The sequence below is a fragment of the Homo sapiens genome, chromosome 6 (genome assembly GCF_000001405.40).
Source record: "Homo sapiens chromosome 6, GRCh38.p14 Primary Assembly".
Taxonomy (NCBI): Eukaryota; Metazoa; Chordata; class Mammalia; order Primates; family Hominidae; genus Homo; species Homo sapiens.
In genome coordinates, this window is record NC_000006.12 from 76,421,981 (window position 1) to 76,448,518 (window position 26,538).

Below are 26,538 nucleotides of genomic sequence, written 5' to 3' on the forward strand. Positions count from 1 at the left end.
TCTCTATTTTCCAATTGTTTATGAGCTGATTAGTGTTGTAGAAATACATTCTGCAGCAGAATAATCTGCTCAGTAATTTGGAATTTTGTGAAGAATGAATTGGACCCCAGACTGTTAGATCTTTGGAGATCTTAATAGCCACTTACCAGGTTCCATTTTATAAGTAAGGAAACAGAATTAGAGAAATACATGTTTTGTTCAAGGCGCTACAGCAGGGATGTCCAATCTTTTTGGCTTCCCTGGGCCACATTGGAAGAAGAAGGATGGTCTTGGGCCACTCATAAAATACACTAACAATTGCTGATGAGCTAGAAAATAAAAATAGCAAAAACAAAACAAAACAAAACAAAAACCAACTAATAATGTTTTAAGAAAGTTTACAAATTTGTGTTGGGCTCCATTTAAAAGCATCCTGGGCCATATGTGGCCCTCAGGCCGCAGGTTGGACAAGCTTGTTGTATATTAATTTAGTATTTTCTAAGTAAAAAACAGTTTAAAAGTCATAACCTTGAGAGTGCATTGTAAATTTATGACAGGTGATAGAAATAACAGAATTTTAAGATGTCTTTTAAGTAGTTTAACAGCATTTAATAATTACAATTATATCACACATAAACATTCTGCTATTTTGGGTGGGTTTATGGAGTGTCAAAGCTAAAATTGCACTGAACAATGTTAAACAGACAAGGAAGACTTCATTCCAGGCTATTGCAATAGGGAAGAGAGGCCAAAACTCAATCTCACCTCATCTCCATAGAAACAAAGCGCTAAAGAGTTTTTAAGGGCTGGAGTGAGGGAAATTATAGGCTGCCTCTGTTTGCTAACTGGTCTCACCCAAAGGAAAAGTAAGCTTTCTCATATCTTTATGACAAGAGGTAGCTTTACAACTCGGACCAAGGCTTCCATCCTTTCACAAGGATGGGCTCATAGTTTGGCTCCTGCCCTCCTACAGAGATACCTTCCCTGATGATTATATTTCACAGGGAAGGCTCCCACATCTTTGAGAAAGGACATCCTGGGCTGTAAAGCTAGCAAGAGGCTTTTTAGAAGATTTACATCTCAAAGAGGCAAAGAGAGAATTTACACTTAGAAGTTTTCTAAAGTAAATGCTGTAAAGAAAAGGAAGGTCAGGAGCCTAGCATCAGGAAGAAGCCTGTCTAAAGCTTAGTCAAGCTGAGGGAAATGTTAAAGCTGTCTGGGTTAGGCATTTTATCTACCACTCCTTTCAATGGCCCAACGTTAACTCACATTTTTGAGACTGTGATAAATTCTCATTGTTTTTATTCTATCTCCCTCTTCAATATCAGGTCTAATATGACATGTATTTATTTGTTACTTTAAAGAAATTTGATGCTCTTATGCTTTGCTGGCAGGAGGGCAAATTGATATAATCCTGTGTGAAAATAATTTATCAATAAGCATCAAAAGCTTGAAAAACCTTCATACTCCTAGACTTTTTAACTCCACTCTAAGAAATAGTTGTATAGAAATAATCGGAAGTGTCTTCAAATATGCACACAACTCTGATTGCAACATTTTCTATAATAGTGAAAACCTGGAAATAACCCATAGGTCCACAAGTAGGAGATAGCTAATAACAAAAACGAAAAAAAATTACATTTATATTATGGAATTCTTTTCAGCTATTAAATGTGGAAGTTAGAAGAGTGCTTAAAACATTGATATACTTTTTAAAAGAACAGCATTTTTCCAATTTTGTTATGCATTGCTGTGTAAATATTAATATATTCTATGATAAGATAATATGGTAATCTATGATAGAATTTTTTCTACTTCCTAAAAGTTTATATTCTCCTGGTCACCTCCTCTTCAGATCTTATTCCTACAAAATCCTGATGTCTTGCCTTCTGCAGTTCCTCATTTCACTACATCAAAATGTGGAGCATACTTAAAAAAACATTTCTCCTAAGCATCGTCAACACAAGGCAGCTGGGTGTAGTGGACCACTTGTACTGAATGTTTGAGGGCAATTGGAAAAGGGTTATAGCACATCAAGCTTTCAACCTCAAATCAAATGATAGCATCTCTGTTCGCAATGTCCCTTAGCCATTTCTTCCAGGCATTTTTAAAAATAGATTATTCTTCCACCTTGCAGAGTTGCTTCCTGCCAATCTCTTTGCTTTTCTCTCCAGACTTCTTCATCATTATCCTTTTCTAGACAGTTCTCATTTTTCTACAGATATGTCTGAGCAATTTCAAGTTCTTTGTAATGTAAAGCAATTTAGCATTCTTAGTCTTTATGTCTTCAGGAGCATGCCCCTGGCTGTCTTCCTATTAACACACTGTCTTTTCATGAAAGGAGAATAAAAGTCTCTTTTTCTTACAATATACCAATAAACATCATGTGTACTGACAGTCTATACAAGCTCTATATTTCATTGGTTCTTTCCTCCTGTCTCCAACAGGACCCTGCTCCTACCCACAAAGTGCTCTTTTTTATTTTCTGGAGTCCCTTATGCTGCTGATAACGATAAAGCTTTTGAAGTGTCACTGTTGCTTAAGAATTCTGGAACCCTTACTGCCAAAGGTAGATGCCAAAGCCATACCTGTTTTTGCTGAAATGAAGAGAATGCCTTATTGTGTTGTAGTCAGCTAGAAAAGAATTCACAAAGAACAATCTTGCATCTCCAATACCTTCCTGAGATATTGGAGAAAGTAGTCTTCAGTCATTCCTTTGTAGCATCCTGCTCCCTGGGATTTCATTGGAGTTGGGCCAAAGGACGACATGAATGACTATCTCCATGGTAGACTTGGTGTCACTTTGGCTGACTACTGGCTTTGTTAGTAGATCTAGTTGGTTGTGGCTCCTTCCTTTCTTAGGATATATCCTTGCATTATTCCTAGGAATCTCTTCAAATGCTCTCAGAAATAAAATCCTATCTACCCTACCCTGAGTTTATTAGAGCAGTCTGAAAATGTGAGTATTGATGGTAGTTAACCTTAAAGACAGTAAAGAAATATATTAAAACTTTGAGTTGCTATCTTTAAGTGGTAAGATCATGAATAAGTTTAATTTTTTTGCTTTTCTCTATTTTCTATATTTTTTCATTGACTATATATTACTTTTATAATCACAATGGTTAACCTATGGTAATAAATGCAAAAAAAATCAAGCTACTTAAAATATATTATACTTTGAAAATGAATAATAGTTTTTGAGGGATGGTTGATATTCTCTTTCATGTAACAAAAAACTAGTCTGAACACAATTATCCTAATTAGTAACAGGCCGTTCTGTGGGCAAATAGTTGATCAACTTTATCCAAAAGATTTTTTTTTTCAATTCCTGAGGAAAAACTTATCCAGAAATAATTACAGAGAATTATATATTCTAGCAAAACTGGGGGACACATTGCCAAAACTCCTAGAATTGTGTGTAGCACTAAATCTATGGGAACTAGGTATTTTTTTTAAAGAGAAAGAGATGGAATTTCATCAGTGAAACATAAAAAGAAAAGTTTTTCTTTAGCCATTTCTAAATTCCTTGAGTCTCTGAGTCAGCTGTTGCTCCTTGGTATGTGTTGGATGAATGGTCGATTATCAATACCTAATAGGGGAGAGCTGTGGGATCTGAGGCTGATGGGGGAATGGGGTGCCCACTGCTGAATTTCACGCTGAGAGGGGAAGCTATCTTTACTTTTCCGTAACTGAATCATGGTGAAATTGTGGCAGAAGCAGAGAGAAACAGAATGGGATGGGTGAAATAGAGGATTCTACTTCCCACTTCCTGTGAGTTGTTTGTAAAACTTACCAGCTATTGTGATGTCTTGCTGATGCTTTGGCCACTGGCTAGGCAATGTTTTGATGGAGGTGGAAGCTGTGTTTGGAAACATAGAAACCTGCTGTGAATTGACTGAGACTCTAAAGCCTCAGGGGGCTCTGCAGTAGCCTGTTTTGAAGGCAATTAGAATAAAGTGATATCAACAGACATATTTTTCTGGGAGGTCAGGCCTCAGGAATTCCAGAAGACCTTTCTCAGAGTGGCAAAATGGGGGCTGGCAGCCATATTAATTTTATTGTTAAAATTCATATGACTATATTTTCTACCCCAGACTGGGGATGTGAGAGATCTTAGTTACACTGAGAGCATTCACGCCTATGACATGGCCTCTATCATATTAGACACTGTAGTTGAAGAATGTAAAAATATCATTGCTTATGTATTGAATATATCCTTGTATCAAGCATTATGTCAGGCTTTGTGGGTAAACAAAGATGGACAAGACATTGTTACTGTCTTTGAGAAGGTCAGAAATGAATTAACGTTTATTGAAACATGAATTACTATAATAGAGATATATAATAAGTGCTATGGGAGTATGCATAAAACATAAGTGGGCTAAAAACAGACACCCACCCAACCACAAGCTCCGTGAGTGAAAAGATCACTCTGATTTTACCTAAATTACATTCCCATACCCAGCAGTGTCCAGCCTGGAGTAAAAATAGATGATTAACAAACATCTTTTTTTATGTGTAAAACCCCAGGCTTCTTTCTACATAACGATGTAACTCAGGAAAGAATACGAATTAGTGATATCTGTATAGCACTTTTAGAGGTAATATTAATTCTGTAAATTGCTTTCATTTTGTCTAACACCATCACTGTATATGACATTTCAGTCACATTAAAACTGGGGGACACATTGCCAAAACTCCTAGAATTGTGTGCAATATAAGCACCTAGGAGAGAGTAAAGAGAGAAAGCCATTCTCGGATATAGGCTCATGGAGAGAAAAGAGAAGAATCGTTACTGCAGAGGTTAAACGGTGCATGCACTTTTATATCAGAAATATCTTGGTTCAAATCCTGTCTTCAATCCTACAATCCAGAGTTATTTAACTTCTCTGGGCCTCACTTTACTCATTTATATAAAAATGAAGACAATAATAGTAGTACCAACCTTGGTAGGCAACAGTAATGAATAAATAAGTTCATTATTTAAAACAAGTGGTTCGGCCCGGCGTGGTGGTTTATGCCTGTAATCCCAGCACTTTGGGAGGCCGAGGCGGGCGGATCACGAGGTCAGGAGATGGAGACCATCCTGGCCAACACGGTGAAACCCCATCTCTACTAAAAATATAAAAAAAGATTAGCCGGGCGCCTGTATTCCCAGCTACTCGGGAGGCTGACAAGAGAATGGCGTGAACCCGGGAGGCGGAGCTTGCAGTGAGCCGCGATTGCGCCACTGGACTCCAGCCTGGGGACAGAGCGAGACTTCATCTCAAAAAAAAAAAAAAAAAAAAAAAGCAAGTGGTTCAACTATTAAAGCATAGTGAAAGTTTAATGAACATTGGTTACTCTCAGAAAGTTCCAGAATTTCCTAGTTATATTGAAGGCAATTTAAGAAAAGAAGGTCCAATTAGTGCAGTACACTGGATACAGAGAAATAACCATTTTAACAAAATCATTACAAGATGGGAACAGCTCTGGGATGGAAAAGAGAATCCATGTATGAAACAGAAGTAGGATGATAGAGGAATGACAGCATCAGGCAGAAACGCAGCATTGTTAACATTTTGGTGTACATGTTTTGAGACTTTTTGATATCGACTATTTAATTACTCAGCCATTCTATCCACATATATTTTTTTCTACATCATGCTCTCTGTAGATTCTTCCCCATTAGTAAAATGTTACATTATCTATTTGATAACTATATATCTAAAACGTCATGTATTTTTGTATCTTGTCAGGGAAAGCAGCTCTCAAGCCATGTGTACTTTTGCCAGGCTCCTGAGAATCAGTGTGTCCAAATAGAGAGATGCACTTACATCACACACACACAAACAACACAAGGAGAAGAGGTTGGGGCAGCCGTTTCTCTTTGTCCATGTGGATGTAGCCTAGCATGCTTATCAATCAATAAGAAAGTAGAAAAAGCATAATATTTGTATTTGATGAACATTTTAATCCTTTGAAAGATTAGTCCTTGTGGTTGTGGTACTGTTGGAATTGAAACACTTCTCTTCCTTGGGAATGCAGTAAAATTTTTAGATTTTAACTCATTCTTGATGGAAGAGTGATGAGGAGGATCATAAGAGAAGAGCTTTAAATCAACTTTCTCCCCCCAGAAAACCAATAAGCTTGAACAATTTTTCATAATTGCCATTAACTTTCATCTATTATGGATGGTTTATTCATGTTCTTACCTATTATTCTATTAGGATATGCATTTTTATATTGAATTGTATGTGCTCTTTATGCATTTAAGGCCACTGTCTATTTGCTGGCCATATAGGCTATAAGCATTTATTTCCTGGTTGATGTGTACCTTTTATTTTGCTTATGGGATTTTTGGATGCACAGATATTACAATATTTAATACTGTTATATATTTCAGTGCTTTCCTTTGTGATTTCTGCCTGCAGTATCATGCTTAGAATACTTTTCATTGTCTGGGCATATTTAAGAGATAATCTGTATTTCCTTCACTCTTTTCTTTAAAGAAGATGGAATAGGTTTTCATTTCACATTAGCATTTATAATCCTCAATAACTGTGGTGGTTTTCTACATATAGGTTTCATATTTTTGTTGCACTGTTATTTTTAGGCATCTGATATAAATTTCAATTTTGAGAATGGTAAATTTTTTCCTTGATTTTTAAAACTTCTTATTTCAAGTGTAAAATAAAAGATTTGGAAATATCTGTGTACATTAATACTATTATTTAGACTGGCTCCTTTAGTGAGCTTTTATTTGAATTTTGTTGCATGTTGTTGATCATGCTGGGCTTTCCAGAGAGACAATCATATCACCTGCAAATATTGGAAACTTTGCTTTTTCTTTATTTTTTTCCCTTATTCCTAGTCTTGGTTAGGATTTTTTTAATGTTATGGCTTTTTCATTCTAAAGTCCTTTGATGTGATTTACCACTCCCTCTACAAAACATTTTGAAATAAGTTTTTATTTTAGGAAGGGTATGTGACTTGTACATTGTCTGAAGGCTTGAATATCCCAGAACATCTTCCTTTTGTCTTTGTACATCAATATCAACTTGGTTGGGAGCAGAATTTCATGTCACAACTTTTTGCCCTCAAATTGATATACATCCTGCCTCAATACCTCTGCCATTTTGTGTTGTAGGAACATCATAGGTCAACCTGAGTTTGCTCTTTTTTGATTAGAAACATTACTAGAATCAAAGAAATTATTTTTTCTCAGATCAATCACCTATGACATTAATAATCTTTATAACATTTCCCTTTGTGTCATTCAGAAAACAGGCCCTTGAGATCTTTAGAACTAAAGACAGGTGGCAGCCTTCTATCTGTGACACACAAACTTATCTCCTTATCATTTGTCTACTGTGGTATGTTTAAACTGTTCAGAGAGCTGTGATGAAGATGCTGTTGCTGCTGCTGATCAACTGCATAGGGAGGCTTTATTGTATTCTATAACTGTTTTTCAGTGTTTAAAAAATTATCTTTCTTCTTTTGCATCTGAAATTGATCTCTTTCTCGTGACACTGTACATACAAGACTGCATATGCAGATAGAATGGATTTTTATCTGCTTTTTCTTTTTTTTAATTGAAACAGGGTCTCACTCTGTCACCCAGGCTGGGTTGCGGTGGTGTGATCATGGCTCACTGCAGCCTTGACCTCCTGGGTTCAGATGATCCTCCTCCCTCAGCCTCCCAAGTAGTTGGAACCACAGGTACATACCACCATGCCCAATGAATTTTTTAAGAAATTATTATTTGTAGGGATGTGGTCTCACTATGTTGCCCAGGATGATCTTGAACTCCTGGGCTCAAGTGATCCTCCTACCTCCCCCTCCCAAAGTGCTGGGATTATAGGCATGAGCCACCATGACTAGCTTTATCTCCTTTCTAATGAAGATTTTTAATAAGCTTAAGAATCAAGAAATACTTGAGCTCTTCTGATTGAAGTAAAGACTTTCCAGTGATTCTACATTTATTACTCAAGTTGTGGTCATCTGCTTTTTTGTCTACATTCTGGAGGACAGGCACCAAACACAGAGCATGCCCTCACAACAACACAGAGTAATCTCTGTGGAGACTTCTCAGAACTGGACCTAACAACTTAGGACTGTTTTTGCTCAATCGTACATTTGTTTTTTATATTTTATTTATTCTGTTCCACTCTTTAACAATACAAATTATTAGTAGATTGAATCTTTCTTTTTCTCTCTCTTTTACTTCTATCTCTTTTTCATAGTTTTTCTCTTTGTTATTTTGCTTTGCCTTTGGAAAAGCATTTCACTTTTGACTTCCATATCAATAGTTTAGATTTCTGCAGTGCAGAGTCTGTACCTCACGGGTGGACATATAGTTTTATATTTTACCAAGGCACTTTGGCTTTTAACATTTTTCTTATTTATCTAAAAAAAAAGAAGAAAGAACATTATTTTCTAGTTCAAGTCTAGCTTACATTATTAAGTTATTCATTCAAGAGGAAGTAGGTCCTGTAAAATTAGTGGCAATAACGCAGCTGAAGGGATGTTCGAGTAGTTGGAAGAGGAGAAGGTCCTTGATGGTTATTTATTGCAACTACCCTTTAGAAAAATGGAATCTGTTTTTGCTCCTCTTATCAACATGGGTGTTTGATGCTTCATTTTAGATCTCGGACTGCTTGATGAACTCATCCTGTACTCAACGTGATAGTGTCGGGACATCTGTTGATTGTGGCTCTTCCAGACTGAGGCTTATCCTTCTTTGACTTCTTGATTATCTTGCATTGTGCAAGAGAAGTTATTCAGAAGTGGTTTGAAGGAATCTGAAGTTTTTCTCTTGTACCATGTGTACAACTATTTAACATTTCTCCTGCTGTCTACTGTTAAGTTTACACCCCAGGCCTTAATGTACTGTTAATTTCTCTTCTACTTTTAGCTGTATAGTATTACATGAAACTGTCATTCCTAAAAGGATGGAGAAAGGAATGAAACTTGAGAGCAGTGTAGTAAGGGAATGAATTGTGAAATAGTATCAGTTATTTTCAAATGGAACTCCTGAGCGTAGGGAGCTTTCTTATGTTCTGGATATTGTAGATCTGTGTCTCTGAAGAAAGGACACACAAGGTAGGCAGGCAGAAGTCATCTTTCCCTGACCTACCTGATTCCAAATGAGTCTCAGAATTCATCTACCCTGGACACAGTGAATGTTCTTTCAGGGTTCTTGAAATCTGTCCAATATTCCCAGTACTCTACGCTGTATTGTTGCTTCCTGCAGATGTTTTATGTATATATGATTGTATTATTAAAAACAACTGTCAAATTCTTTTGGATTGAGGCTGGTTATAAATAATCATATGCCCATGCTGTTGGCATGTCATAGTGTGTTAGATTATGTACAGGAAGAAACCATGTGGGATTCCTTTTACTCAACATATACCACTTTTGGGTTCCAAGTTAAGGGCCCATGAATTTTCTCTTTTACTTTAGGCCTCCAAAAATTCAACTTTTTTTCACAATTACCAGCACCTATATTATGTTTTCCCATTGCAGATTTTAATCTGTATCCTCATATTATACTGCTATAGTCAGCTGTATCTGTGTCATGGCTCTGCTGAGTTCTGTGAGTCCTTCTACTGAATCACTGAATCTGAGGGTGGTCTTGGGGATCTCTGAACACCTAATGTACTTTATATAGTTTGGATAGAAAATATCTTTTGAGATTTGTTTTCAAAATAATTTTTTTAAATAAAAAGGATAAAATACTGTTGCTACTACTATGACTACAGTGTGAACTTCCTTACTGTGGTTGGATGAAGGAAAGCATTCACTCACTCATTTAACAAATATTTTTAAGCACTTACTCTATGCCAGAAAATGTGCTTGATGTGAAGGACATTGCAAAGAATATATGGAAAAGATTCCAGGCCTCAGGGAGATTAGAAAAAAAAAGTAAATAAATAATTGAGTAAATAAACAAGCATTAAGTCGTATGGATGAAATAACATGAGAAGATATGGAGAAGTTTAAGTCAGGAAAGTCTTCTTTGAGGAGAAGACTGTCGTGATGATTTCCCAAGGCTTAGAATGGTCTAGACATTTTAAGAGCACAGAAGCAACCAATGCAAATGCCTTAATTTGGGAAAGGACTTTCCCAAGTCTCAAAAGAGGAAGAAAGCTGGAGTGGCTGGCATGTACTGACAAAAGGAAAAAAAGGCACGAGACAAGATGAGAGAGGGAAGCAGGAGCCTGGTCATGCATTGCTGGTAGGCAAAGGTAAGAAGCTTGCAGTTTATTTTAAGGGAAATGGAAAGGCATTTAACACAAGCAGATAGTGTTATATTTCTATAGCTGGACTTATTTTTTTGAGAATCCCTTCAACTCCATGTAAAATATGTAGTAATGTCAGTCATCCTAGGAGGAGTTCTTCTGTCACACCAACACATTTGGTGTTGGGCTGGGGGTGATGAAAGGTGTGTGGCCAGTTCCATCTCTCCATGTTGGTATTCATTGAGGCATACTTTTTCTATCTGATCCTTGGCTATGAACCATGCAGACTGCTTCTTTTTGTTTCTCACCTCAACCACAGGGACTCTGTAGATGCCCCTTGTCTCCTCTCTGTTTGTGTCTCTGTTGAAACACAGGACATATTTGGTTGCTTTCTCATGGTGGTCTAGAGATGAGAGGAACTTTAAGGGGTCTTCCTTGTCTCCTCTGTTGAGATGTGACATGCAGCCTTTTCTTCTTCCTTACTCTTGCTTGCACCATGCTGGACTCAGAAAATGCTAAGGCTTTATAACTGTCTCAAGTTCTGTTTAGGACACAGTCTTCCTCATTGTTCTCAGATTCTCAAATATACCCAGACTGTTTTTTCCTCCCTAGAACTTAGCCTAGCAGGTGAGGACAAGGCCTGGGGCCTTCTCTCAATGTTCTCTTTGAATCCCTCCTGACCAGAGAAAGTTTGTCTAGTCTAGGGTTGGGCTGTATGTCCTTTCATCTGTTTTTTTTTTTTTCCCAAATCATACTGTTTACAGTATAAACTTTATGCCCCCGAAAGACTTTGAAACTTGAAGGGTCTTTTTGTTTTCACAAACAAATGCCTCTGCCAAGAGTTTCAAAAGACCTTTTCTCTTTTCTTTGATGCCATTTTCTTTCCCCTGAGGCAATAAGCATAAAATATCTTAGCTGCTGCCTGAGGTGGGGTGTCACAGGAAATATGGAAAAAAACACTTTTGCCAGTCTAAAATAATAGCTAGTTTACTTATGCCAGGTATTCATTTTAACATTCCTCGTGGATTCTTTCTTCTTTTCTTTTCTTTTTTCTTTTTTTTCTTTTTTTTTTTGATATGGAGTCTCACTCTGTCACCCAGGCTGGAGTGCAGTGGCAAAATCTCGGCTCACTGCAACCTCTGCCTCCCAGGTTCAAGCAATTCTCTTGCCTCAGCCTCCTGGGTAGCGGGGATTACAGGTGTGTGCCACCATACCCGGCTAATTTTTGTATTTTTAGTAGAGACGGAGTTTCACCATGTTGTCTAGGCTGGTGTTGAACTCCTGACCTCAAATGATCCACCTGCCTCCGCCTCCCAAAGTGCTGGGATTACAGGCATGAGCCACCACACCCGGCCTCCCCATTGAATATGTTCATTGCATATTCAAAACAATCTTGTGAAGGAAGGGCTATGAACATCATTAATTTACAGATGAGGTCATAGCTAGGAAGTGACAGATCTGGAATTCAAGCCCGGGGAGTGACTTGATCGGGTTTACATTTTTAAGTTATCACTTTTACTGCTGAGTGAAGTGTGCAGTACAGAGGAACAAGAGAAGCAGGTAAGCTAGTAAAGACACCACTGAATTCAGAGAGAAAGACAAGGTACTGGCTGTGTATGTGAATGTGCAAATGGAAGCACAGCCTGATGAAGTAGAACAATTCTTTCATAGATGGTTTGATGAAGCTGGAGATGAAGAGAACAGATTTACTAGTTCACAATTTGATCTGGACCAACTCTGGGTTCTAATGGTAACCAGTACATATACATTTCATAGTTAAATGGGAGACTATACATTAAAAAGATAAATCTTAACTTGGTTAAATTATTAGCCAACATCATTATTTAGTTGGTAAAATTCAGGATATTTAGAATGTTAAAATGGTCCTGTAAACATTTTCTTTTTCTTTCTTTTGTACCGCTCTGGCACTGATTAGGTTATTTGATATTCACGCAGGAAAAAAATGTATTGTCAGTAATTGGGGAATACTATGTGGTGTCCCTAAAGAGCTTGATATGAAGGATATAAGTGTGCTTTCTGGCATCAAAAATGAGAAAGTACCACATAATGGGGAAGAGAGTGAATTTATTCTTCAGGGTATGTTCTCAAACCCAGCAGCTGTCAGATGCACTGAAGATGCTCATCATATATTTGTGGAAGGCATGAATGAATAAAAATCACTTTATTGAGACCGAGTAGCCCTTAACTCATGATTTGATTATATAAATGAAAAAATTTCTAAAGAAGAAATGCACTGATCGTAGCTGTGTATGTGGAAGGGAATTGGTCAGGGTAGGGGTCACATTTATTTGTTGCCTTAAAAACTTAGTAAAAGACAGTCAGTGAGATTAATTTTGGCAGTGCAGAGTGAGACACTTTTCAGGGGACAGACTACCTGTGTTTTCTACCCTGTATCTCTGGAGAGTATAAAGGCAGTGGAAGAGGTCCCAGGCTTTGTTAGGCTGAGGTCAACAAATATTTGAATAATGTAATTAACTCCCCTCAGTCTGAATCTAGACTTAGCAAACACACTTTTGAATATTTTTATTATAAAAGTTGGTTTCTCATGCAAAAAGTAAAAACCGGCAAGAAGACTCAGGCCCCCAATCTTCCTTACAACAATATTCATTATTGTATTTTAATGAATTATCACTCTGATTTTATCATGTCTTCCTGAAGTTTTAATACCATGTTCTCTAACGTATGAATCTAATATGTTAACAAGTAAGGTTCCTGAGTTGAAAGGATGAAAATAAGACCACAGTTCATGTGAAAGGTATCAGGTAGTTTTGTCCTGTAAGCAGTTAGGGTTTTGATAGAAAATAGAGTATAACCTGGGTGTTCAAATGAAGAGACTCAATTGAGAAACTACTTGCTCAGATGTGAAGCCAGATTAAAAGAACAAGCAGGTAATGATGAGGTACTCACAGAGAGCAAATGGAAAAGTCTTTCCTACCCTTTGGACCAAAGGCAGTAGGAAAGGAAATGGAGTTATCAGAATCCAGTGGAAGTGCGAACCATTGAAGAGGAATTGCCCAGTGGGAGTTGTAGCTGTGGAAGGAAATGGCTATTTTAAGAGGCTGGCCAGAAGAAGAGCAGAGAAGGAACAAGACAGAAATACCACATCCCCTTTTTCCTCTTGCTCTCTTATCTCCTGCATGTGAATTCCATTGGCCTGAATGAAGCTGGCAAGTAAGAGAGCACAGGAGATGCCAACTGCAACCACAAGTCAGCCTCTCAGGCCACAGAGCAGGCAATGGAGGGGAGAGATGGCTGAAGGGGTGTGGTGTGGAATATGATTAGGAAGGCAAGTGCAACCTCTAAGACAGAGCCAACTGGATTTGAGAGAGAGCCCAGATGGACAATAACCTCTTTGTCTTTTTGTGGGCCTTACCATCATTTTACTATAAGAATTTATATTGCTATTAATAGTTTGTTTTCTCATATAATTCTGATAGAAAAAGTGAAATTTATTGTTTATTTGTGTATCACTGTGACATACCAAAATTCTTAGTTCCATCAAGTTAGCAAGGTTCTTATTCTGAGAGCAACAGCTAGGCTGTTTGAAGTTCCAGTGTTCCGTTGAATTAAAAACAGACTAATTTTCTCAAATATTTATTGTTCTTTGAGGTGCTTGAGGCCGAAGTTCAAAAATAAAGACTTCACACTGTGCATTTAGTACAAAAACATAAACTGCCACATGAGAAAATATACGTAGAATATTTAGAACAAAATAATGTGCCATGCCCATTATTGAAATACATTATTTATAGTCATGTGTTGCTTAACAATGGGGATATGTTCTGAGAAACGCATCATTAGGTGATTTCATTGTACTGAGAACATCACAGAGTATACTTACACAAGCCTAGATTGTATAGCCTACTGTGCACCTAGGCTATATGGCATAGCCTAATGCTCCCAGGCTATAAGCTTGTACAACATGTTACTGTACTGAATACTGTAGGCAATTGCAACACAGTGGTATTTGTGTATAGAAACATCTACACATAGAAAAGGTACAATAAAATACAGTATGAAGGATAAAAAAAAGCACTCCTGTGCTGGAGAGGATGTGGAGAAATAGGAACACTTTTACACCGTTGGTGGGACTGTAAACTAGTTCAACCATTGTGGAAGACAGTGTGGCGATTCCTCAAGGATCTTGAACAAGAAAACCATTTGACCCAGCCATCCCATTACTGGATATATACCCAAAGTATTATAAATCATGCGGCTATAAAGACACATGCACACGTATGTTTATTGCAGCACTATTCACAATAGCAAAGACTTGGAACCAACCCAAATGTCCATCAATGATAGACTGGATTAAGAAAATATGGCACATATACACCATGGAATACTATGCAGCCATAAAAAAGGATGAGTTCATGTCCTTTGCAGGGACATGGATAAAGCTGGAAACCATCATTCTCAGCAAACTATCACAAGGACAGAAAACCAAATACTGCATGTTCTCACTCATAGGTGAGAATTGAACAGTGAGAACACTTGGATAGAGGAAGGGGAACATCACATACCGGGGCCTATCGTTGGGTGGGGGGAGGGGTGAGGGATAGCATTAGGAGATATACCTAATGTAAACGATGAGTTAATGGGTGCAGCGCACCAACCTGGCACATGTATACATATGTAACAAACCTGCATGTTGTGCACATGTACCCTAGAACTTAAAGTATAATAATTAAAAAAAAAAAGCACTCCTGTATAGGAGTTAATGCAAAGGCCTAGTATATTACTGTTCACTCCTGTAGACTTTATAAACACTGTACACTTGGGATACACTAAGTTTATAAAAATATTTCTTTAATAATAAATTAACCTAAGCTTACTGTAACTTTTTTAAACTTAGAAGCTTTTTTTTTAATGTTTTGACTCTTCTGTAATAACACTTGGCTTAAAACACAAACACACTGTATAGATGTACAAAAGTGCTTTCTGTATATCCTTATTCTATACTTTTTTCTATTATTTCTATTTTTTACTTTTTAAACTTTTTGTTAAAAATGAAGACTCGAACACACTCATTAGCTGAGGCCTACACGGGGTCAGGATCATCAATATCACTGCCTTCCACCTTCATATCTTGTCCCACTGGAAGTTCTTCAGGAGCAATAACATGCATAGAGCTGTCGTCTCCTATGATAACAATGCCTTCTTCTGGAACACCTCCCAAAGGATGTGCCTGAGGATGTTTACAGTTAACTTTTATTTCATAAGTAAAAGGGGTACACTCTAAAATAACAACAAAAAGTGTAGTATAGTAAATACATAAGCCAGTAACACAGTTGTTTATTATCATTATCAAGTATTATGTACTGTATATCATTGTATGGGTTACACTTTTATATGACTGGCAGTGCAGCAGGTTGTTTTACACCAGTGTCACCACAAACACATGAGTAATGCATTGCATTATGATGTTATGATGGCTATGACGTCCACTAGATATTGAGAATTTTTCAGCTCCATTACAATCTTATGGGACAACGGTTGCACAGGCGGCCCATCATTGACCAAAGTGTCGTTATGCAGAGCATGATTATATTCATGCATATAAAATGTAATGCCATGCTTGCTTAAAAGCTGACCAAAAGAAAATCTGTTGGCCTTTCAAGCACCCCAAAACATCTCTAACCTATCTGGTCTATATGGGATGTTTGAAGGTCAGTGATAATCACTGTATCTTTAGCATTTATAGAATTTCATATGAGTTATATATCCACTTCTGAACTTCTGCCATTAAAGGGATATAGAAAAGCTTTAGACAAAGAATACCCTCAAAACTTTTTGACCTAGCCTCATAAATAAGAAACAAGAAATAAAAACCTTTGAAATTTTCAAGTAAAAATAGTGATTTAAAAGCAGATTAAGATTGCTCAGTACTACACAAACACGAGCATTTGTATTTGAAGTATTTACATAAAATATTGGTTATGGTTCTTATCCACGGGTAACAGAGACTCACTTATAACAGGAATTTGAATGGATATTGAGATGCTGGTAGAATTTCTGAGAAAACTAGAGAAACAGGTTGGGAAGCAGGCAGGAATAAAGACAGGCCAGGCCACCAGAACCAGTCTTGTGAGGACCCTGGTGTTGACCATTCTGGACCCTGGACCCAGTAGCTCATAAAGCATCCTGTGGACACTGGGCATAGTGGTGGCACCATTGCCACTGCTGCCATCCAGAAATGGATTCCCTGTGCATCACCAGCTGCCCAATCACAGTTCCAGCCCAGTGAATCTGAGGAGCTGGCCTATGGCACATACCCACACCCTAACTGGAAGGGGCTTCCGATCTTGAGCATCTGGCTTTTTTGACTTCTATAGGGAAGGCATACTCAGTTTCCTATTAAGATTCATAAGTTCAAAGATTCCACAAAAAGGCTAGAAAGAGTCTAGATTTATCTCTATTACGTAGTAAAATTGAAAGGGGTTCAAGATGTAGTATAAAACATTTAGAGTCATGTTTAACTTTTGTAATCAGGTAACTTCCTTTGACCTGGTCTAAATGTTTGTCTCCTTTCCAGAAATCTTTTAAACTAGGATTCTCACTTCATTAGAGAGTTGTTTTTGTTTTATATAATTTCTCTGGCCTCACAATATTTGACTTAACTGGTACTTATTTTGAAAGTTATATTATTAAATAAGGGGAAAATTATTACAATAAACTCAAAGAAGATAAAAACTTAGTAAAACTTGATAAGTAGAAGAAAGCAGAGTCAGAGTAGAATCTGATGAGTCATATAAGAGCATTCTTTTTCACTTTCAGCAAAAGCATTCCAAAAATTTAATGACATAGACTAATATTATGATTCTACTGGGCGTTTTTAAAAATGTAAATGGATTCCTCTAAAATAGATAACCAAAAGATGCAATAAATCTTTGCAGCTAATTTGACTTTACTCTTAAATTAGTTTCAAGGTGATCTCTCTCCATTCTTAAAAAAATTGAGGATGACAGCATCAGGGTCTTGGTGTGGAATTTTACTGAGTGATTTCAGAAAGATGACTTTTTAGATGAATTCTCTTGCTGTTTATTAAATACCTTTTACATTAAAAACACTGGAATCACACATAAAAGAATAATGTGACACCATTTCTGTTTTCAAGGAGCTTTCACTCCACTGTGGTGAGAGACTTATGATATGACTGATATAAAGCAGGAAAGCAAAAGTGCCAAATAGAGAAGTTCCAAACCATAGCAGGCTAGAAAAAGGAGGGATGCACCCCATTATGGGGAAGTAGATGAGGCTGCCTTTGAACTAGGCTTTGAAAGATAAAAATAAGAAGAAAGAGGTGAAAAATTCAATAAAGGATGAAGGGACTGAAATTTCAAAGATAAGATCAACTTAAGTGCTTGGCCTATTCAGAAAGCAGCAGATAAAGCTACAGAGAAGGAACACAGGACTCATAAAGGATGGCAAAGAATTTGGCTTTTGTCTTACACTCTCCTCTGGAGCTCTCCTGGGGCAGACAGTGCTGGCTGCCTACCCCACAACCATACCCCTTCTTATCGGTAAGCAGAACCTTCATTTTGGTCATTATTGAGCATCCCAGGGATTGAATGACTATTTTTCTAAGCCAGTTATACAATTCCTTCTCCCTTTGCAGTTATTGGTTTAGATATGCAAGTGGGATAAAACCTTGGTCACTGAGTGGTAATAGAATACATGCTGGATGCTTTCTGGAAAAGGGACCTGAGACAGCAAGTTGATCCTGCCAGTCTTCGAACATCATTCTGGGGATATGTTGCTTGAAAAGGTAGCAAGTAACCTGTGTCCGTGAGTAGAGCAGAGAAGTCATGTGGAGTCCTCTCTAGATTGAATTGCTGAAGTAACTGACCTTAGTACCACCTACTTGGGCACTTATTGTTATGAGGAATGAGGAATTTTGCTTCCTGCTTATGGTGATTTTGATATTTAATTACTTGTAGTGAATGCATTTGCAGTAATAGATTTATCCTGTTCTGACTCAATCCTGAAATCTGCTTGGAACATTCAGATTAAAGAAAATGCTTACTTTTTCATCTGTCACTCTATTTAGGCAAAATTTTTCCTGTTAATTACTTTTGTATTTAATACTTTTTTTCCTTTAGGAACAAATTTACTCTCTTAAGTTCTGTTAAATATTTATTTAGTTGTTATACCCAAGAGCAGAGGAATAGATGAATATGGAAAATGGTCCAACAGTTAAAAGTGCTCAGATATATTCATATGCTAGAATGTGCTTTTATTATTTAATGGAGAAAATGAATTTTTCTGCAGAAATGTTATTGTTAGTACTTTCTGCACTACTGGGGAGAATGGAAGTCATCTTTATTAGCCTTCTCATTTGAAGAGAATACAAACTTTCAGCAAAGTTTTCATGAAAGAGATTATTCTCACTTCAGGGAGCTCAGTATGATCTGTGCTGTGGATCAGAAAACTGAACCAGGCCACGAGGACTCCATTGGAACCTAAATTTGCTTGTTGGGATTCTGCCAGCTGAGGCTTTATTCTTTTTTCCTCACTCCTGATGATTCTTTTATTCTCCTTTTGTTTTTAGCAGACACTACTGGAATTTCATCTATTCTGTTCTTCCCATTTAATGCCAAATCTTTTCTTCTGATCAGTGTGTTAATTTGTAATTAAAGTTGCCCAAGCACCTTGAACATATCCTTATCTAATCAAGTGAAGCCTGGAAGTCGATACACAAGTCACAATCTCCTTTAGCTACATGATTATTTAAAACTGAGAGTGTGGTAAACTTCCGGAGTTCAAACAAAGTTGAAACCCAAAACTTCATACACAATAACACATTTATTTAGTCTTAAACATCATGAGTTTCTGAGTGTCTACTTTTCCAACTTCTTCAAATAACGAACATTATTTGAAATGTCTGATTTGTATTTCTTCATTTAAATATAAAAACATAGGGGCTGTATTTTGAAGCCATTGTTTATGTAAAACTTTCCATAAAAGAGTTTTTAATTTTCTTTTTAAATGTCTACTTCTTCTATTTTAACAATTTATATGTATTTTAAAATTTGGAAAATATTGAAAAAACACAAAAAAAGAAAATTATTCTAAATCACATCAAGTGTGGTGAGATAGCCTATTTATTTTTATCTATTAAGATGTGTGTTTATGAGTGTGCCTATATTTGTGTATACACACACATATGCAAGTATATTATGTATTTAATATAGTGGTATATAAATAAATTCAGATTGGTATTTACTGTACTCACTATTTTTAAGGTAACTTTTTATGTTGATATAATTTTAAACTTTCATATAGTTTCCAATTTTGGTACAAGGAACTCCCATATACCCTCTATTCAGATTTAACAATTACTTACATTTTTCCTATCTGTTCTCAGCATTTTATAACTTGCTGTTTTAGTAGCAAGGATACCATATTTTCTAGAAATTACTAAATATGCTTGTACTGCATGATTCTAATGATGATGATGGGGATGATGTTGACAACAATGATGGTGATTGCTAAATAGTTATTGGACACTTTTATGTGTCAGGCAGTGTTCTAATTGCTTTACATGTAATATTTTAATCCTTAAAATAACTAGGAGGTATATATTCTTATTGCTCTATGTTAAAAGAGTACAAACCAAACACAAAGAAGTGAAGCAACACAAACTGGCAGGTGAAAAGCAAGGAATTGGTTAGGGAAAAAACCTCAACCTTCGTAGCAGAGGCGCTGAAAGTAAACTGTACTACTCATTGGATCAGAGCAAGACAGGTCATTACTCACAGCACAGCGACAGCAGAAGCATCAGTATGTTAGTGCTAGTTCTCCTTACCCTAAATATCATGGGATGATGCAATGGCCTGGTTGGGCTGGAACTCAGGGCTAAGGGCTCAGTACCTTTTATGGTATGCAATAAACAAGCCCCTCCTGAGCAGTCACATGGGTATGTTTTTGTTGCCTTGACCTACTTAACTGTGTTTGAGTCTATCTGCAGAAACAGCATCAGGCTAGAGGAGATTAGGCCCTGTAACTTGACACACTGAGCAAAGATGTGCATGAATGCTTAGGGCCATGGCAGACTGCCCTTCTCAACTAATATGTAGTCAAATAAATTGATCCACATGATTGATTATATTATGACACCTTTGATCTCATTTTAAAAAATTTACTATAAATTATTTGATTAGTTCCATTGTTTGGGCTATAAAAGGTGTTTCTATTTTTCTTTTTTTGAGGGAACTTATAGTCTCATTTGTTTTTAATTTTTGTCTTAAAGAAAAAAGTTAGAATTTTATAAACCTTATTGTAGCATAAATGGTCTGTATCTCAAGTCCCATTTTTCCCCTGGGTTTTCTTGTTTTATTTTAATTATATATTGATAAATTATAGTTGTATATATTTAAGGGGTACAAAGTAGTGTTATGATTTTTAAAACAATGTGACATGATTAAATTAAGCTAATCAACATATTCATCACCTCAAATGAACATTTTTTATGATGAGTTCACTTGAAATGTATTCTCTTAGTGACTGAAATATACAGTTTTCAAGTATTAGCAATATTCACCATGTTATGCAATATATCTCAAAAAAGAAATCAAACATTCTTCTTATCTAACTGAGATTTCATACCCTTTGACTATCTCCACATTTCCCCCATCCACCAGCCTCTGGTAACCACCACTCTACTCTCTGTTTCTATGAGTTCGATTATTTTAGGTTCCACATATAAAACATATAGTATTTGCTTTCCTGTGTTGGGCTTATTTTACTTAGCATAATGCTCTCCAAGTTGATTCATATTACAATTGACTGAATTTCTCCCCTTTTTAAGGCTGAATAATATTTCATTGTGTTTAGATACCACATTTTCTTTATCCATTCATCCACTGATGGACACTAAGGTTGATTTCATAACTTGAATATTGCAAATAGTGCTGCAATCAATGTGGGAGCACAGAAATCTCTTCAACATACCGATTTCAAATCTTTTGAGTAAATACCCAGAATTTAGATTGTTGGATTATATGATGATTGTATTTTTAGTTTTTTGAGGAGCCTCCAAACTGTTTTCCATAATAGCTCTACCAATTTACATTCCCACCAACAGTGTACAAGGTTTCTCTTTTCTCCACATTCTCACCAACACTTATTTTTCATATTTTTGAAAATAGCCATTCTAACAGGTGTAAGGTGATATCTCATTGTGGTTTTAACTTGCATCTCCCTAGTGATTAGTCATGTCGCAGACTTTTTTCATATATCTGTTAGCCATTTGTATGCTGTCTTTTGAGAAATGTCTATTCAGATTGCTTGCCCTTAATCAGATTTTCTTTCTATAGATTGAATTCTTTATATATTTTGAATATTAATCCCTTACTACATGTATGACTTGCTAATATTTTATTTCTGTCCATAGGTTATCTTTCAACTCTATCAATTTTTTTTCTTTGCCACACAGAAGGTTTTTATTCTCATTTGTCTGTTTTTGTTTTTGTTGTCTGTGCTTTTGAAGTCAAATCTAAAAAATCTTTGCCCAGACCAATGTTGAATAATTTTTCTCCTGTTTTCTTCTTATAGTTCTATGGTTTCAGGCCTTATGCTTAAGTCTTTGAAACATTCTGAGCTTATTTTCATATATGGTGTGAGGTAAAGGTCCACTTTCATTTTTTTACATATGAATGTCCACTTTTCCCAACATCATTTATTGAAGAGACTGTCCTCTTCCCTTTGCATATTCTTTGTACCTTTTTCAAAAATGAATTGACTGTAGTTGTATGGGTTCATTTCTGGGCCCTTCATTCTGTTTTCACTGGTCAATGTGTCTATTTTTGTACCAGCACCACGCTGTTTTAATTACCATCACTTTGTAGCATTGCTTGAAATCAGGTGATGTTGATGCCTCCAGCTTTGTTCTTTTTGCTTATGATTGCTGTGGCCATTTGAGATTTTTTTGGATCCATATGAATTTTAAAATTGTTTTTTCTATATCTATGAAAAATGGCATTGGAATTTTGGTAAGGATTACATTTAAATCTATAGATTGCATTGGATGGTGTGAACATTTTAATATTAATTCTTCCAATCCATAAGCATGGGCTATCTTTGAATTTATTTTTGTCTTCATTTATTTCTTTCATTAATGTTTTATAGTTTTCAATGTACAGGTCTTTCATCTCCTTGGTTACATTTATTCCTAAGTATTTAATTTTTTTGTAGCTATTGTAAATGTGATTGTTCTCTTGATTGCTTTTTGGGAAAGTTCATTTTTAGTGTAGAGAAATGTTACTGATTTTTGTGTGTTAATTTTGTATCCTGCAACTTTACCAAATTTGTTATTAGTTATAACAGTTTTCGGTTATAGACTTTAGCTTTTTCTGTATATAAGATGATTCCATCAGCAAGTAGCAATGGTTTTAATTCTTTTTTATTTAGATGCCTTTTATTTCTTTCTTCTGGCTTATTGCTCTAAGCGGGACTTCCATTACAATGCTCAATAGAAGTAGCAAGAGGTGGAATTTTTGTCTTGTTGCAGTTATTAGAGAAAAGGGTTTCAATTTTTCATCATTGGTATAATGTTAGCTGCGGGCTTATTACATATGGCCTTTGTTGTGTTGAAAGACTTTACTTTTATACCTAATTTGCTGAGTGTTTTTGTCATGAAAGGATGTTGAATTTTGTCAAATTTTTTTCTGTGTCTAATGAGGTGATTATATAACTTTTTGTCCTTCAATCTGTTAATACGGTGTATCACATTTATTGATTTGTGAATGCTAAACCATCCTTGCATCCCAGAAATAAATCTCACTTGATCATGATAAGTGATCCTTTGTGATGCTGAGTTTGGCTTGCTACTAATTTGTTGAGAATTGTTGTGTCTATATTCATCAAGGATATTGGCCTGTAGTTTTCTTTCCTTTTATATCGTTGTTTGGCTTTGGTATCAGAGTGATGCTGGCCTTATTAAAAAAAATTCTGGGTTTGAGATCAGCCTGACCAACATGGAGAAACCCCGCCTCTACTAAAAATACAAAATTAGCCGAGCATGGTGGCGCATGCCTGTAATCCCAGCTACTCAGGAGACTGAGGCAGGAGAATTACTTGAACCCGGGAGGCAGAGGTTGCAGAGAGCCGAGATCATGCCATTGCATTCCAGCCTAGGCAATGGGAGCGAAACTCTGTCTTAAAATAAATAAATAAATATAAATAAATAAAGTTTGGAAGTAGTTTTCCTCTTTAATTTTTTGCTAAGTATTACTATCCCTGCATTATTTTGTTTTTTATTTGCATAGAATATCTTTTTTCAATCCTTCATTTTCAGTCTATGTGTATCCTAAAAAGTGAGGTAAGTCTCTCGTAGGCAGTATATAGTTGGGTCTTATTTTTTTTATACATTCATTTACTGTATGTCCTTTTATTGGAGAATTTAATCAATTTACATTCAAGGTACTTATTGATAGGTAAGGACTCACTACTGCCAATAGTAAGGAATTACTGTTCACAATTTTGTTAATTGTTTTCTGGGTTTTTGGAGATACTTTGTTTCTTCCTTTCTTGCTGTCTTCCTTTGTGGTTTCATAAATTTCTGTAGTTGTAGTTTTGAACCTTTTTTATTTTTCTGTGTGTCTCCAATAGACTTTTTTGGTTTTTGTTTACCATGAGGCTTACATAGAATATCTTCTACTTATAACAGTTTATTTCAAGCTAAGAGTGAGCAAATTTTGCATACAACAAATCTACACTTTTACTTCCCCCACACACATAATTTTCATTTTTAATGTCTGAATTACATCTTTTTTTATAGTATGTATTCCTCAACAATTTATTTCAACAGTAGTTATTAATGTTTTTGTCCTTTACCCCTGTACTAAGAATAAAATTATTTTATATACTAACATTATAGTCCTAGAGCATTCTGATTATTGCTCTGTATTACTTAGACCACTGGGTTTGTGCATTTATAACTTTTATGTTATTTATTAGAAGCTTTTTGTTTCAGTTTAAAGAACTTCCTTTAGCAATTCCTGTAAGGCAGGCCTAATGGTGATAAACTCCCTTAACTTTTGTTTACCTGAGAATGTTTTTATTTTTTCCTCATTTCTTTTTTCTTTTTTTAATGTTTGTAGCAACTTTATTCATCAGAACCAGAAAACCTGAAAAATATTCAGCCATCCTTCAATGGGCATGTGGTTAAACAAACTGATACATCCATAACATGGACTACCTCAGCAATACAAGAAATGAACTATTGATACATGCAGAAAATTGTATGAATCTTCAGGGAGTTATGCTGAGTGAAAAAAGCCAATCCCTAAAGATTAGACATTATATGATTCTTCTCATATAATGTTCTTAAAATGACATAATTATAAACATAAACAACAGGTTAGTAGTGGCCAGGGGTAGGGAATGGAAGAGGGGAGAGGAGTAGATGGGAACGTGGACAACACAAGGGATCTTTCTGGTGATGGAAATTTTCTGTATCTTTACTGTATAAATGTCAAAATCCTGGTTTTGCTATTGTGCACATCTTGTAAACATCTTATTTTGTAAGATGCTACCATTGTCTCCCTCATTTCCAAAAGAATGCTTTGCCACGTATTCTTGGTTGACAGGTTTGCTGACAGGTTTTGAATATTTCATCCCACTCTTTCTTGCCTTGCAAGGGCTCTACTGAGAAGTCCACTGATAGTGGTATTAAAATGCCATTGTATGAAATGCACTTCTTATCTCTTGCTGCTCTCAAAATTGTCTTTTATTTTTAATAATTTGATTATTACTTGTCTTGATGAACTCTTTGGGTTGAAAAATATGGAAAGATTCACAAATTTTCATGTCATCTTTGTGCAGGGACCATGTTAATATTCTATCATTCCAATTTTAGTACAAATGCTCCTTGGCTTACAATAGAGTTACTTTCCAATAAACCCATCGTAAGTAGAAAGTATTATGTTGAAATACGCAGATGACTGAAAGCAATGGCTGACTACTTTAGGGATGGTGAAATAAGTATGGTGTCTACCAAATGTTTATCACTTTTAAGTTATTGTAAAGTTGAAAAACCACAAGATAAACCACCATAAATCAAAGATTATCTGTATATGTGCTGCTAAAGTGAGCACTCTATTTTTTTTAACCAGAGATGTAAAGTTATTGTAAACATTCTTCACACACACACATCTTCTCACATCTCTGATTATTTTCTTCAAGTAAATTTCTTGAACTAGAATTATTGCCTCAAAGAGATTGCATATTTTAAGTATTCTTTTTGCCATATTGCCAATTGCACCCCTGAAATATTTCATGAGTCAGTTCTTCAGCAGCATTTTCTACAAATATCATTGTCTCTTCTTTTCAATATTTATGTTTCAATATCTCTGCTTAGCCTTCCTTCATCTTACTGAATTGACAAGAAAGTCCAGAATATTGGTATTGGGAACATTTATACAAACAAATATCCATTTCTAATGAAAATTCTATGTTTTCAAATTATTTGTTGGCCACCCAGATAACAAGCCTTGTTAAAAACCAAATTTATTTGCTCACCTATTTTGTGTTTTCTAAGGATCAGAACTTTGATGAATATATGGAGGGGTTGTTAAAGTTAGCATAAGACAATAAAAATGTCTTCTATGTAACAAAAAATACATATAGCAATACTAGACTAAAATTGTTTAGTTTTTGTTTTATAATTATGGATTCTCAGCAGCACGTACTGATACTTCCGTTTTCTTATAATAAAATTAATAAAAATTATCAGACAGTATAGACATGGGAGCAGTTTTTTTACATGTTTAATTTCCATGTTTCTTCTCCCAGTTTCCACTGACTGACTGTCTTCTGCATTCTTCCCATTTTTATTCCACAGTATTTTAGTCCTCTGTCAGTCGGCTCCAGATGTTTTCTTGCAACTGTAATTTGCACAAGAATTCTAGTCTTTGCCTGTGCCTTTGCTCAGCATTCATTTGAATTTGAGTTTTTATAACTGCCTTACCAAAAAGCTTTTACTTCTCTCTAAAATACCCTGTAAAATGCTTGCTCTTGATTACTTATACCCTGAGAACAGCTTTGCTCTCTGTGAGGTACCAAAGCTCTGACTGTTGCTCTACTCTCATTACTCTATGCTTTTGCTGCCTCTGGCCTTTTGTGTTTTGAACCTCCTGTGGTCTGTGGCTGCTATGAGAAGGTCAAAGCTATGGAGTGGCTAAAATGATTAGTGAAGGGCCAACCTGAGAGGATATTGATCTGCTTCTCCACGAAATGGCAATCATAATGTTTCTTTATTTTCAGAATTTATTTTCATAACAATTTAAAATGTTAACAGGGATAAAATAGA

At 35.9% G+C, this 26,538-nt stretch overlaps 1 pseudogene, besides 2 other annotated features; it reads right to left on the minus strand.

Annotated features, from left to right (window-relative positions):
• Nucleotides 711-1,294: an enhancer, noted in NCBI's record as "OCT4-NANOG hESC enhancer chr6:77132408-77132991 (GRCh37/hg19 assembly coordinates)". NCBI's record gives its function as "activates a minimal SCP1, AML or CMV promoter by ChIP-STARR-seq in naive H9 embryonic stem cells {active_cell/tissue: H9 hESC(naive)}" and the evidence as "EXISTENCE:reporter gene assay evidence [ECO:0000049][PMID:30033119]".
• Nucleotides 3,575-4,076: an enhancer, noted in NCBI's record as "NANOG hESC enhancer chr6:77135272-77135773 (GRCh37/hg19 assembly coordinates)". NCBI's record gives its function as "activates a minimal SCP1, AML or CMV promoter by ChIP-STARR-seq in naive and primed H9 embryonic stem cells {active_cell/tissue: H9 hESC(naive and primed)}" and the evidence as "EXISTENCE:reporter gene assay evidence [ECO:0000049][PMID:30033119]".
• On the minus strand, nt 25,008-25,109 carry RNU6-261P (RNA, U6 small nuclear 261, pseudogene; annotated as a pseudogene).